Source organism: Homo sapiens, chromosome 1 (assembly GCF_000001405.40).
Source record: "Homo sapiens chromosome 1, GRCh38.p14 Primary Assembly".
Lineage (NCBI taxonomy): Eukaryota > Metazoa > Chordata > Mammalia > Primates > Hominidae > Homo > Homo sapiens.
The window spans coordinates 13,937,263-13,952,442 of NC_000001.11; the positions used below are offsets into that span (position 1 = coordinate 13,937,263).

At 41.8% G+C, this 15,180-nt stretch overlaps 1 protein-coding gene across 6 annotated transcripts in view, besides 1 other annotated feature; it reads left to right on the forward strand.

The window, feature by feature from the left end:
• Window positions 1–15,180, forward strand: part of KAZN (kazrin, periplakin interacting protein) — a 1,225,220-nt gene that overhangs the window by 44,439 nt on the left and 1,165,601 nt on the right. The gene's annotated exons all lie outside the window — the stretch shown is intronic.
• Window positions 9,564–9,796: a silencer, noted in NCBI's record as "fragment chr1:14273321-14273553 (GRCh37/hg19 assembly coordinates)". NCBI's record gives its function as "represses an EF-1alpha promoter that drives an FKBP-Casp9 reporter gene in an ReSE screen in K562 erythroleukemia cells {active_cell/tissue: K562}" and the evidence as "EXISTENCE:reporter gene assay evidence [ECO:0000049][PMID:32094911]".

Sequence of the window (15,180 nt, forward strand, 5' to 3'; positions counted from 1 at the left end):
CTTGAACTCCCGACCTCGTGATCCGCCTGCCTTGGCCACCCAAAGTGCTGGGATCACAGGCATGAGCCACCATGCCCAGCCATCCTTTGCCCACTTTTTAATGGTGTTATTTGTTGTTTTCCTTGATGAGTTGTTTGAGTTCCTTGTAGATCCTGGATATTAGTACTTTGTCAGATGCATAGTTTGCAAATATTTTCTCCCATTGCATAGGTTGTCTGTTTACTCTGTTGATTATTTCTTTTGCTATGCAGAAGCTTTTAGTTTAATTAAGTCTCATTTGTTTATTTTTGTTTTCGTTGCATTTGCTTTTGAGGACTTAGTCGTAAGTTCTTTGGCCTATACCAATGTCCAGAAGAGATTTTCCTAGGTTTTCTTCAAGGATTTTTAGAGTTTCAGGTCTTATATTTAAGTCTTTAATCCATCTTGAGTTAATTTTTGTGTATAGTGAGAGATATGGGTCCAGTTTTATTCTTTTGTAAATGGCTAACCAATTTTCCTAGCACCATTTATTGAATAGGGTGTCTTTCCTCAGTGTATATTTTTGTTGACTTTGTTAAAGATCAGCTGGTTGTAGGTATGTGGCTGTATTTCTGGGTTCTCTATTCTGTTCAATTGACCTATGTTTCTATTTTTATGCCAGTACCATGCTGTTATAAACTTGTAGTATCATTATAGTATAATTTGAAGTTAGATAATGTGATGTCTCCAGTTTTGTTATTTTTGCTTAGGAGTATTTTGGCTATTCAGACTCTTTTTTGGTTCCATGTGAATTTCAGGATTGTTTTTTCTAATTGAAATATGAAAAATGATGTTGATAATTTAATAGAAATCGCATTGAATCTGTAGATTGCTTTGGGCAGTATGGTCATTTTAAAAATATTGATTCTTCCAATCCATGAGCATGGAAGTTTTTTTCTGGTTTGTGTCACCTATGATGTCTTTCATCAGTGTTTTGTAGTTCTCCTTGTAGAGATCGTTCAGCTCCTTGGTTAAATGTATTCTAGGCACTTTCTTTTTAGCTATTATAAATGGGAATGAGTTCTTGATTTGGTTCTCTGCTTGATCATTCCTGGTGTATAGAAATGCTACTAATTTTTGTACATTGATTTTTTTACCCTGAAATTTTACTGAAGTCACTTATCAAATCTAGGAGTCTTTTGGAGGAGCCTTTAGGGTTTTCTAAGTGTAAGATTATATTATTTGTGAACAAAGATAATTTGACTTCCTCTTTTCCAATTTGGATGCTTTTTATTTATTTATTTATTTCATTCCTGATTTCTCTAGCTAGGGCTTCCAGTTCAAATCCTTGGTGTCCAGGCAGAAGTCTGCTGCCAGGGTGGAACCCTCACAGATAATCTTTACTAGGGCAGTGGCGAAGGAAAACGTGGGATTGGAGGCCTCACACAGAATCCCCACTGGGGAACTGCCTAGTGGAGCTGTGGGAAGGGGACCACCTCTGCAGCAGGCTTCTGCCTGAACACCCAGGATTTTCCATACATCCTTTGAAATCTAGGTAGAGGATGCCAAACCTCCTTCACTCTCTGTGTGCCTGCAGGCTTAACACCATGTGGAAGTTGCCAAGGCCTATGGTTTGCACCCTCTGCAGCATGAGCTGTACTTGGGGTCCTTTGAGCAACAGCTAGAGCTGGAGCAGGAGGGATGTGGGGAGTATCCTCTTGGAGTGACACAGGGCATTGGAGCCCCAGGCCTTGCCCACAAAACCATTCTTTCCTCCTAGGCCTCTGCCTTGTGATCTCCAGGTTGCCTTGCAGATCTTTGGAGTGACTTCCAGGTCTCTCTCCATTGTCTTGGCTATCAGCACCTAGCTCTTTTTTAGTCATGCTAATATCTCTAGCAAGTGGTTGCTCCACAGCTCCCTTGTATTCCTCTTCTGATAATGCTTTGTATTTCTCTGCCATTTAGCCAGATTGCAAATTTTTAAAACTTTATATTCTGCTTCCTCTTTGAATAAAAATTCTAGCTTTAAGCAATTTCTTTGCTCCTGCATCTGAGTGTAGGCCACATTTTTAATGCTTTGCTGCTTAGAATTTTTTTCCACCAGATACCCTAAGTCATCACTCTTAAGTTAAAACTTACACAGATCCTTAGGGCATGAGCACAATTTCTTTGCTAAGGCATAATAAGAGTGACCTTTGCTCAAGTTCCCAATAAGTTCTTCATTGCTATCTGAGACCTTGTCAGCCTGGACCTAATTGTCCACATCACTATCAGCATTTTGGTCACAACCATTTAACCAGTCTCTAAGAAGTTCCAAATTTTCCCTCATCTTTCTGTCTTCTTCTGAGCCCTCCAAACTCTTCCAATCTCTGCCCGTTACCCAGTTCCAAAGTCACTTCCACATTTTCAGATATCTTTATAGCAATGCCCCACTCCTGTTTTAGGCTATTCTTGTATTGTTATGAACAAATACCTGAGACTGGGTAATTTATAAAGAAAAGAGATGTAATTGGCTCATAGTCCACAGGCTATATAAGCATGGTGTTGGCATCTGCTTGGCTTCTGGGGAGGCCTCAGGGAGCTTTCACTTATGGCAGCAGGCAAAGAAAAAGCTGGCACAAAACATGATGAGAGTGGGAGCAAGAGGGTGGTGGGGGAGGCGCCTCAGACTTTTAAACAACCAGGTATCATGAGAACTCACTATACTGAGGATAGCACTAAGAGGATGGTGCTATACCAATCATGAGAAATCTGACTCCATGATCTAATCGCCTCCCACCAGGTCCCACCTCCAATGATGGGGATTAAAATTCAACATGAGATTTAGAGGGAACAACATCCAAACTAAATCAGGGATACTCACCTGTAGTTTTCTTTTTTTGTTGCATCCTTACATGGCTTTGGTATTAGGGTGTTAATGGTTTCATAGAATGAGTTAGGAGGATTCCCTCCTCTTCATTCTTTTGGAATAGTTTCAGTAGGATTGGTACCAGTTCTTCCTTGCACATCTGATAGAATTCAGCTGTGAATCCATTTGCTCCTGGGAGTTTTTCTGTTGGGAGATTTTTTTTTTTTGATTACTGATTTAATTTCACACTTGTTATTGGTCTGTTCAGTATTTCTGTTTCTTTCTGGTTCAATCTTGGGAGGTTGTATGTTTCTATGAGTTTATGCATTTCTTCTAGGTTTTCTAGTTTGTGTGCATAGAGATGCTCATAGTAGTCTCTGATGATCTTTTATCTTTCTGTGGTGTCAGTTGTAATGCTACCTTTATCATTTTTGATTGTGTATATTTGAAACTTCTCTCTTCAGTTCTAGTTTTCTGATGACATATACATATCAGATAATTTACCAGAGAAGTAGAATACATAAAAAAGAATCAATGACAACTCTAGAGTTGAAAAAATACTATAACTGAAATTAACTCAATATACAGGTTAGACACAACAGAAGAGATTAGTGAACTGGAAAATTAATAGGAAAAAAATACGTAGTACCTTGTATATGATTGGGGTTGAAAAAAATTTCTGCTGCTACCCTTACTGGGACATTGCTTGGGTTCCATTTTTTTAAACTTTTACAGTGAGTTGTTGCAAATATTCTTAAATTAATTAAAATATCCAAAGAATATGAATTATATTTATACCTAAAAGTTCTGAAATGCATCTATAATATTAAATGGGAAAAATCTGGGCTGGGCATGGTGGCTCACACCTGTAAACCCAGCACTTTGGGAGGCGGAAGTGGGTGGATCACCTGAGGTCAGGAGTTCGAGACCAGCTTGGCCAACATGGTGAAACTCGTTTTTACTAAAAATACAAAAATTAGCCAGGCATGGTAGCACATGCCTATAATCCCAGCTACTCGGGAGGCTGAGGGGGAGAGAATCGCTTGAACCTAGGAGGTGGAGGTTGCAGTGAGCCAAGATCGCACCACTGCACTCTGGGCAACAGAGCAGGACTCCATCTAAAACAACAACAACAACAACAAAAAAAAAACAATAAAAAGGAGTAGGGGGGAATATCTGCATAATCAATGACTACTACATAGGAAATATTGGTCTCTTTCATACCTGCTCACACACTCTTTCAAACAGTTCCCTTCCCTTTATCAAACATTTATTGAGAATCTACTATGTGCTGGAGATGAATAGGGAACAGCTCAGGAAGCCTGTGGTCCTCAGTCCTCAGCTACATGTGGTCTCCCAGACTATGACTCACATTTAGGTTGGACAGGCCTCCTCTCTGCTTACCTCTCACATCAGTAACCCAAACCTTGGCAAGTCAAGTCAGGGGTGGTGATTTTTTGGCGAGTGCCTATGTAAAGCAGATGGGATTGGTGGATTCTGTCCCAGGAGGCATCCTCTCCTGGGGGTTCTTTATTCTGAAGTTTCAGCAGTAAGTAGCACTTTAGAACAAGCACAGCTGTGTTTCAGATTTTCTTTCTGTTAATGGAAGAGAAACTTGTTGCAGAAAAATTTTCCTACTGACAACAAGTAGAAAAACCGGCCCCAAATAAAACAAACCAAACCTACCACCATCACCACCACCACCAACAGCAACAACAAAACTCATGTGTGTGAGAACACCAAAGAGCTACCAAGGCAGCCAGCACTTAGGGAGGCAGCATCCAGAGGGAGGAGAAATCCAATGATGTTAGTCCAATTTTCTGCTGTGTCTTCTCTTTTAAGGCATTTGACAATTGCAACCTGTGTGAGGCTAAGAGTTAAGAAGTTGAACAGAACTCAGTAGTCAAAACAAAACAAGGAAACAAAGCAGGAATTTTGGAAGTCTTATGGGTCTGGGCCAACAAATATTGAAATTAAGGTCTGCTAAGGAGGAAGGTCCCTGGCAATTCCAGTTAGCGCCCTGAAATGGCTCTATTTTAGGAGTTAGAGTGGATTGAAAATAGAGCATCCCTCAGAAAAGACTAAAGCCCAGCTTCAAATCCCTCAATTCTCAACCGGATTGAGGTGATTTACCTTCACTCTACCTCAAAGCAGAACAAATTTTTTTTCTGGAGAAAAATATAATTCACCGGCCAGGCGCGGTGGCTCACGCCTGTAATCCCAGCACTTTGGGAGGCCGAGGCGGGTGGATCATGAGGTCAGGAGATCGAGACCATCCTGGCTAACAAGGTGAAACCCCGTCTCTACTAAAAATACAAAAAATTAGCCGGGCGTGGTGGCGGGCGCCTGTAGTCCCAGCTACTCGGGAGGCTGAGGCAGGAGAATGGCGTGAACCCGGGAAGCGGAGCTTGCAGTGAGCCGAGATTGCGCCACTGCAGTCCGCAGTCCGGCCTGGGCGACAGAGCGAGACTCCGTCTCAAAAAAAAAAAAAAAAAAAAAAAAAATGTATATATATAATTCACCAACACCTCAAATTCTCTTTATAATTGTTCATACACAATCTCTGGGATTGAATAAAAAACAATCTCAGGCACGCTAGGAAATAGGACAAAACAACAAAAAACCAAGACAAAGACTTGAAGTTATTTACGCATGGACATTAAAATAATTGTGATTAATATGCTTAATAAAATAGATGAGAAGACGGATAATTTTGTCAAATAGCTAGAATCTATAAAAATTAGATAACAACTCTAGAACTGAGAAGTACTTTAGCTAAAATTAATTCAATATATGGGTTTAACAACAGATTAGACACAACAGCAAAGAAGATAAGCAACCTGGAAGACCAGTAGTAACCTACATAGTGAAGCATAAAGAGAAAAAGGGTAAGAGACATATGGACATGGTAAAAAAGATCCAATAAGTATCATTGAAGTTCCAGAATGAGAAGAAAAAAGACAGTGAAGCAGAAACAATATTTGAAGAGATACTGGCCAAGATTTTCCAAAACTGATTAATATCATCAAGCCATAGGCCCAAGAAGTTCTATAAACCACAATCCAAGTAAGTACAAAGAAGACTACTGTAGGCAGATCATCACAAAACTTATGAAAATGAAAAAAGGAAGTTAGAGAGAAGAAGATACTACTTTCAAAAGAGCAACAAGACAAACAATTGACTTCCCTAAGGACCTGATGAAAGCCAGAAGACAATGGAATGGCATCTTTAAAGTGCAGAAAGAAGATAATAGTGTCTGGGCACAGTGGCCCATACCTGTAATCCTAGCACTTTGGGAGGCTGAGGTGGGAGGATCCCTTGAGGCCAGGAGTTCAAAACTAGCCTGGGCAACATAGCAAGACCCCATCTCTATGTTAAAAAAAATTTTTTAAAAAAAATAATAACCACCTAGAATTTCATATTTACAGAAAATAATCTTAGGACACAAAGCTTAAATAAAGGTGTTTTCAGAAAAAGAAAAAAAATCTAGAGAATGTATTCTAAAATACTAAAAGAAATCTACCAAAGGGAGTTTTCAGGTAGAAGAAACATGATCCCAGAAGGAAGAACAAACATGCAGAAAGGGTTCAAGACCAATACAAAGAGTAGTTATTGGCAAATCTAAATATTCACTGATTTTCTAAAACAAATAATATATATAAATAAAAAAGAAGCCTATATGGTATATACAAATGGCTAATAAGCCCATGAAAAGATACTCAACAGCATTAGTCCTTAGGGAAATGCAAATTAAAATCACAATGGTATACTATTTCACATTCAAAAGAACAGCTACAATAAATAGAAAATAACAAACTTTGACAAGGATATGGAGAAATGGGAACCTTCCAGTATTTCTGGTCAGAATGTAAAATGGTGCAATCATTTTGGAAAAGTTTGGCACTTACTAAAAAAGGTAAAGGTAAAACTATCATAGCAATTCCACCTCTGGCTATCTACCCAAGAGGAATGAAAACCATTGTCCACACAAAGACTGTCATGCAGATGCTCATAGCTGCCTTGTTTATAATAGCCCCAAAGTGGAAATAACCTAAGTGTTCATTAATTGGTGAAAGACAGAGAAGTGTGGCATATCATACAATGGAATACTATTCAGCAACAAAAGGGAATAAACTACGGATACGCGTTACATCATAGATGAACGTTGAAAATAGCACGCGACGTGAAAGAAGCCAGACACAAGAGACCAACCACACACTGCGATTCCATTTCTATGATATATCCAGAAAAGGCAAATTTATAGAAACAGAAAGCAGATTAGTGGTTGCCTAGGTCTAGAAATGGGAATGGAGATTAACTGTAAATGGACATGAAGGATTTTATCGGGGGGTAAATTGCTATAAAATAAATTTATGGTGATAGTTGCACCACCTGGTAAAATGTAGTAAACATCATTGACTTGTACACTTGAGATGAGTATTATGATATGTAAGATATACCTGAATAAAGTTGTTTCAAATGTATGTAGAATTAAAATACGTAACTGCAGTAGCACAAAGGCAGATGAAAGTAAATGGAGGTAGTGTTTTAAATGCCTTGAATGGCCGCAAAGCAGTAAAAGTAGTAATTTATATTAGACTGTAATAAGTCAAGGATGTGTGTCATTATCTCTATGGTAACCACTAATAGAAGGGTGAAAAATGTGTAATTAAAAAGCTACTAGAGGGATAATTGTAATTAAAATACTTGATTAATCAAAAATAAGACAAGAAAAGATAAAATAAGCAACATAAAATAGTTTTGACAAGTAGAAAACAAATAGTAATATAGTTGATATAAACCTGGATATATAAATAATTATATGTAAATAGACTAGATGTTCTCAGTAACAAAGAAAAAAATCCAACACTATGAGCTTACAAGAGATATCCCTTAAATATGTGATACAGGCAGATTTACAATAAAAGGAGAGAAAGAGATATCATTGTAAACACTAATCAAAAGAAAGCTAGTGTCATTTAAAAAATATAAAACAAAGTGGACCTGAAGGTAAAAGACATTACTAGATATAAAGAGAAACATTTCATAATAATAACAATAACAGGCTCAATCCACCTGAAAGATATACTATCTGGAAGATATGAATAAAAAATTTATGTGCAGGCTGGGCGTGGTGGCTCACACCTATAATACCAGCACTTTGGGAGGTCGAGGCAGATGGATCACCTGAGGTAAGAAGTTCGAGACCAGCCTGGCCAACATGGTGAAACCCCCATCTCTACTAAAAATACAACATTAGCAGGGAATGGTGGCCCATGCCTGTAATCCCAGTTACTCGGGAAGCTGAGGCAGGAGAATCACTTGAACCTGGGAGGCGGAGGTTGCAGTGAGCTGAGATGGCACCACTGCACTCCACCCTGGGCAACAGAGGGAGAGTCCGTCTCAAAAAAAAAAAAAAAAATTAGAATTGATCAGGAATGTGAGACTCCATCTCAAAAAAAAAAAAGTTCTGTGCACTTTGCTAATATCAACTCACAATATATATATAGCAATGAATGGTAAAACTAACAGTGTACCCACAATCATAGTTGGGAATTTTAACACAGCTGTTCCATAGGATGATTTTTTTAAATGACATTTGCTCTCAGTTTGTGTGTGTGTGTGTGTGTGTGTGTGTGTGTGAGAGAGAGAGAGAGAGAGAGAGAGAATGTTTTTAAACCTAAGTCTTTAGTACATTTTTTTATGAAGCCGGTGCCTGGTAGATGGGGTGAACTGGGATATTGGAATGCTGGTTCTGGCAAGGGCCACCTGAATTGGGGAAGATGCAGTGGTGTGGTTTTCAGAACATCCGAGATGGCTCCTATGCCTGCTTCCCTTCTCTGCCCAAGTCCCTATTGCTGGACTTCTGAGGAAGCACAGTTATGGGTCTTGGTTGTTTCCAAAAAAGGCCTCTCTCCAGCACCAAGAACTGCCAGATGGCAGTGGTTAGACAATCTGGGCTTCCAAGTCCTCAGGAGAGTCACTCAGACAGATGAAACTACCTTCCTATTTTTAAATAAACCCAGAGTTAGCTTTTCTGTATTCTTTCCCTGGTCAGCAATTTCTGGTGCTTTTCTATTAAGAAATGCATTCTTTTGGCTAACCCGAATCCCTCATGTCATGATTTAAGTGCCTTTATTCTAGTATGCTTACCACAGTCTTACTGATAGAAGAGGAGAAACATCACACAGCTGCCTTCTAAAGCATGGTTTTTGTTTTCTCAATCACAGAATGCATAGAGGCGAAGAGTTGCGATTCTGGAGCCAGTCTTCCTGGGTTTCAAAACGGGATTTTCCTCTTATTATCCATGTGACCTGGGACAAATTACTTTTCCTTCTCCCCATCCATAAAATAGAAATAAAGTGAGCAATTTGAGGATTAAGAAGAATCAAGAGCACAGAAGTCTGCCGACACCGTGATCAATACTAATCATTATGGTTATACTCACTGTAGAAAATTGGGAAATTCCAGGGAGTACGAGGAAGTTTAAAAATTCCCTATGACATTGTTTCACAACTGTCCCCTGCTCCAGTACCTAGGACAATCCTTGGGATCCTTAAGAAACACTTGTTGAACTAATATTCCAAAAGGGTCATGATCACCTGCTTGTGCCCTGTAATGTGTGTCAAAGATGCTAGATGGCTAAGGTATTATGATCCTGAGGTCACCTGACACTGTCTTTATCTGTGTTACTCCGTAACCCTACTTCCTAGCACTGCACCTGAGCCCTGTAAATGATGCCTCATATTTTAATATTAGGTAGTGTATTTTCATGTGTGTGGCTGCTGTTACGAATGACCACAAACTTAGTGGCTTACAACAACAGAAATGCATTCTTTCATGGTTCTGGAAGCCGGATGTCCAAAATTAAGGTATCAGTGGGGCTGCATTCTCTCTGGAGGCTTGGGGGGAGAATCCGTTCCTTGCCTCTTCCAGCTTCTGGTGGCTGTCCCATTCCCTGACCTGTGACTGCATCCCTCTGATCTCTGCCCCCATGGTCACTGTATTAGTCTGTTTTCACACTGCTATAAAGAAGTGCCTGAGACTTGGTAATTCATAAAGGAAAGAGGTTTAATTGACACACAGTTCCTCAGGGCTGGGGAAGCCTCAGGAAACTCACGATCATGGCAGAAGGGGAAGAAGGCACATCTTGCATGGGAGCAGGTGAGAGATAATGAGCAAGAGCAGGGAAAACTGCCTTCTAAAGCCATCAGCTCTTACGGGAACTCACTCAGCAGCTTGCCTAGGGTCACTCGGGTAGCAAGAGGCAAAATCGTGAGTGGACTCAAGATGCATGTTCTCACTCATGAGAACAGCATGGGGGAAACCGCCCCCGTGATCCAATCACCTCCCACCTGGTCCCTTCCTTGACACCTGGGCATGTGGGGATTATGGGGATTACAATTTGAGATGAGATTTGGGTGGGGACGCAGAGCCAAACCATATCAGTGACATTGCTTCCTCATCTGCAGTGTGTCTGTGTCAAGTCTCCCTCTGCCTCCCTCTTGTCAGGGCACTTGTGATTGCCCTTAGGGCTGTATTAGTCTGCCCTGGCTGCCGTAACAAATACTTCAGACTGGGGGCTTAAACAACAGAAATTTATCGTCTCACAGTTTTGGAGGCTGGAAGTCTCAGGTCAAGGTGTCAGCGGTGTTAGTCTTTTCTGAGTCCGTTCTCCTTGGCTGTAGACAGCCGTCTTCTCCCTGTATCTTCACGTGATCTTCCGTCTGTGTGTGCCTGTGTCCTAATCTCTTCTTATAAGGACACCAGTCATGTTGGATCAGAGCCCATCCTCAGGACCTCATTTCAATGACCTCTTTAAAGACCTTATCTCCAAACACAGTCGCACTCTGAGTTAGCTTTTCTGTATTCTTTCCCTGGTCAGCAATTTCTGGGGTTAGGATGTCAACATATGAATTTTGGGGGGATACAGTTTAGCTCATACCAAGGGCCCACTCAGATAATTCAGGATAATCTTTCCCATCTCAAGATCCTTAATGGCAAAGACTGCTTTTTCATTTGAGGTAACAGTCACAGATTCCAGGGGTTAAGAACTGATTTCTTGGTATGGTTCTATTTCATCCTACTACAGGTATAGAAGAGAAAGAGTGAAGGATTCTGGAAACGTCAGGCTGCTGAACCACCTTCATATGGTTTGGCTCTGTGTTCCCACCCAAATCTCACCTTGAATTGTAATGATCCCCACGTGTCAAGGGCAGGACCAGGTGGAGATAATTGAATCATGGGGGCGGTTTTCCCTATGCTGTTCCCCTGATAGTGATCAAGTTCTCACAAGATCTGATGGTTTTATAAGGGGCTTCCCCCTTCGCGGGGCACTCATTCTCTCTCCTGCCACCCTATGAAGAGATGCCTTCTGCCATGATTGTCAGTTTCCTGAGGCCTCCCCAGCCATGAAGAACTGTGTCAATTAAACCTCTTTTCGGTGTAAATTACCCAGTCTCTGGTATTTCTTCATAGCAGTGTGAGAACGGACTCATACACATCTGGTGTGGGGAAAGGGGGCAGTGGAGAGGCTTCTGCAGGATGGAACCTTCCTGTTTTGAGATCCAGTGTTGGCTTCTTGAGCCTTACCCCCAAGACCTCTTTGTGGCCATGAACCGTTCTTTTTTTTCTGCAAACAATCTTTTTCCTGTTGCAATGATGCTCAGTCCACCATCTCCTGGTTTTCATTCTGTATCTCTGGAAGCTTCTCCTCAGAAGTATTGCTGGCTCCTGTTTTGCTGTTATTTTCAGGAATGAAAATATGGCTCAAGGTTCTGCCCTAGGCCCCTTCCCATGTTACAGACATGAAAATGGAGGCTTAGAGAGCTAAGTAACTTGGCTAAGGTCACTCGGGTAGCAAGAGGCAAAATCGTGACTGGACTCAAGATGCATGACTCAGATGTCCCAGCATCGCCTCTCTGACGTACCCAGCATCCAGCATGTACTCTGTGTTCAATAAATACGCTGATAAATGCTGAGTAAAACAGAACTCAAACCCAGGTTTTCTGGATCTAATCTATTATTCTTTCCAGCCAGCATTCTGGTAAGAACATCATTTCCCCTCTCCTCTGTACCCAGAGGGAGCAGCTGTCCCAGAAATTGCAGTTACTCTCAAGATTTTTATTTTCAGCAGCTCTGATTTTTATGTTCAGGGACCACACTTAATTATTGCAAAACATCTGCTGGCACAAAGTGGCGTTTTGTTACTGAATCATTCCCAAGAACATCCCATGAGCTCTTGTACTTGGAGACAATTTCTGCAGGGGCCTGGGCCAGCAGAAATACCTCCTGTTTAAGAGGCAGCAGGGGAGACTTAGGGTTGACTGGCTTTGAAAGCAACCACTAATTAGATTGTTCAGGGCTTAAAAAATGATAAGGCTTCTCAATATCAGACAGCGGTCCTTATCAGATATTTAATAACCTCTGCATGACTTTCCGTGAGCATCTCTGTGTGACGAGGTGTTTTTAGGGTGAGATTTTTTTCCATGTCTATGGGGTTCCATAATGGCGATCATAACAGCTCACACTTTACTGAGCCCTTTTTCTGTGCCAAGCAGCGTCCTTAGCACTCCTTGAACTTCATCACATTCAAAAAGGTCTCCTATTATCCATATGAATATACCTTATGATGGAGAAGTAATCTGGGTCAGCTAGAAGTTGTCTTTCCCAAGGCTGAGCCAGCTGGCAAATGTGTGACAGAATCTAAACCCAGACAGGCAGACCCCAAAGCCCCATTCTCAACATCCATCCTCTAAGGTCAAAGGTAACGGGGAAGCTGCTGCTCAAAACACAGCCGAGACACCATCCAGTTTGGACCTGGGAGGATTCCCACTGCAACTGTTGACTATAAGACTGAGTTTGATGTGAGGAGGAACTTCATGGCTAAGATTTGGAGACACTGGGTCCGAGTAAGATTGAAAGGCCTTGGAATGGTGGGTAGGGGCCTTCCAGATCCCGCCCCTGCCTTGCTCTGCAGCCCCCTCTTCCAACACATCCCCACACCCCAGGGCTGAGCCTGCTCCCTGAGCCTTGCTCCCTCCCAGGCCTCTTCCTTTGCTTCATGCACCTGCTGCTTTGTTTGGGCTGCACTTCCTCCCTCTTGGCCTTTGTCATTGGGTGCCCAGGTTTTTCTCTGTCCCCGCCTCCTCCGATGGTCCTGCACAATGCTTCCTTGGTGTCCCTTATGCCTTCCAGACCTCCCTGGCCAGGCCAGTGCCCTTCCAGGTCACCTCTTCTGGCATCCCACATTGCCCCCACAGAGCACTTCCAGCTGTCCTTTTGTACCCATTTCTGGGATTTGATGGTCTCTCCTATCAGACTGTCAGCTCCATGAGGACAAGGACTGTGTCTGTTTCTCCTTATTGTATATCCCCAGCGTTCAGTGTACTGCCTGGCAAATAGTTCATGTTCAAAATATTTTTTGAATGAGTTGTCTGAGTTATCTACTTGCTTGTGGGCTTCCTTACTAGACTATCAGGAAACAGCATCTGGCAGGTAGTAGTTGATGTGTTCAAATTGGGATTTTTAGTAAAGATACAGCTTACAAAGGCAGCGTCGGACTGCAGGAGTTATTATAACCCTCAGGCCTGAGCAGACCAGGAGAGGGAAGGGCTGCCTAGAAGGAGCTGCGGCCTGGAGAGAGCAGAGGAACGAATACCCCAACCTCATCAGCCACTCATTCTTTGACTTCTCTATGTGCCTCCCATTGACTGAGCCCACAGGGCAGCTAGAGGTCAAGGGGGTTCAAGGATGCAGTTCCCACTGGCTGCCTCTTGGGGCGTTTCAGGGGCAAGGTCGTCTATCCAGTACTGTGTGTTAAATAGGTATACAAAGGAAGGAATCGCCTTCCCAAAAGATGTGATAGTGTTGCAGTTCTCGGGAAACTGTCAAAGGAGAAGATAGAACGGGATGTTTCTGGTCTTGTTGGGAAATGACCCTGCCTGGAGTCCATGGGATTCCTCTTCCTTTCAGCCTTTTTTCTTTGGCTAATACCCAGCCCTGTATTAAGGATTTGGAATTTGCAGGCGATACCATTGCATTGTCAGGTAGAGATTCTTTGAGCAAAGACTTTAGAGAGGAGACACTGTGGGTGTGCCCAGTGCACAGTGTTGGGGGTCAGCATGTTTGAGTGAACATCCTGGCTCCCGGAGAGGCAGCAAGGCATAGTGTGGTAAGGGACATGGGACCTGGAGTTAGCCTATCCAAGTTCAAATCCTGGATCTGGATCTACCACTTCACAGCTGTGTGGCTTGACTTTCCCATCTGTGAAATGGGGATAAGGGTAGATGAGGATAAGATGAGCTAGTCCACGCAAAGCACTTAGACCCATGCCTGGCTCATGGTTCGGGGACCACACTTCCTGGTGAGCTCAGGATGGCCCCAAAGTATGCCTGTCATCCCAGAAGAATTATTACTAATGTCCCCTTTATTCTCAAAAGGGTTCTGGTTTGGAGATGACTCACGTGGTCTTACACACTGTAGGGTGTTGTTATGTCTTGCTGAATATTTGGACAAGCCACTTCACTGCTTAGAATCTTAGCTCTAAAATGGAGATAATAATAATAATAATAATAATAATAATAATAATAATAATAATAATATCTGCTCTTCTGGGTTGATTTGGGATGATAGGATGAAACAGAATGGCCAGCACAGGGTTGCTGTCCATGATGATCATGCTCTTTGTGTTTCTCTAAGTCCAGGCAAGCCATACAGACATAGATGGATTCCCACCCCCTTACCACCCACTTTCTGCTTTTATAAAAATCTCTCAAGTAAAAGTGCCTTAAGACACATGATGCCAAGGTATGACCCACAGTGCTGTTGCCTTGGTGGTTATCTGGCCTGCCCTAGCTGTGCTATTTATTATCAGTTGGGTAGTTTTAGTAACAGTTTCCCAGGGAAATCTTGAACCAGGTCAGGCCTGTTTGCAGTAAAGAAAGGGTGGTGTCTTAACCCAGATCCCTGCAGGCCTATGGGAGCTGTTGATTGTTTGAGGACTATTTGTTGCATAATCTCCTTTCTTTTAGCAGCTTCTTATTTGAGCAGGAAAAGGGGTTTCAGGACTCCCTAGAGCTTCTACTTTATTTGTTATTAATATTATTTACTGGGCTGCCTTTTTGTCTTCTAAATTGAATTACTCTCAAAAGGGTTCTGGTTTGGAGATGACTCATGTGGTCTTACACACTGTAGGATGTTGTCATGTCATGCTGAATATTTGGACAAGCCACTTCACTGCTTGGAGTCTTAGGTATAAAATGGAGATAATAATAATAATAATAATAATAATAATAATAATAATAATAATATCAATATCTGCTCTTTTGGATTGATTTGGGATGATAGGATGAAACAGAATGGCCAGCACAGGG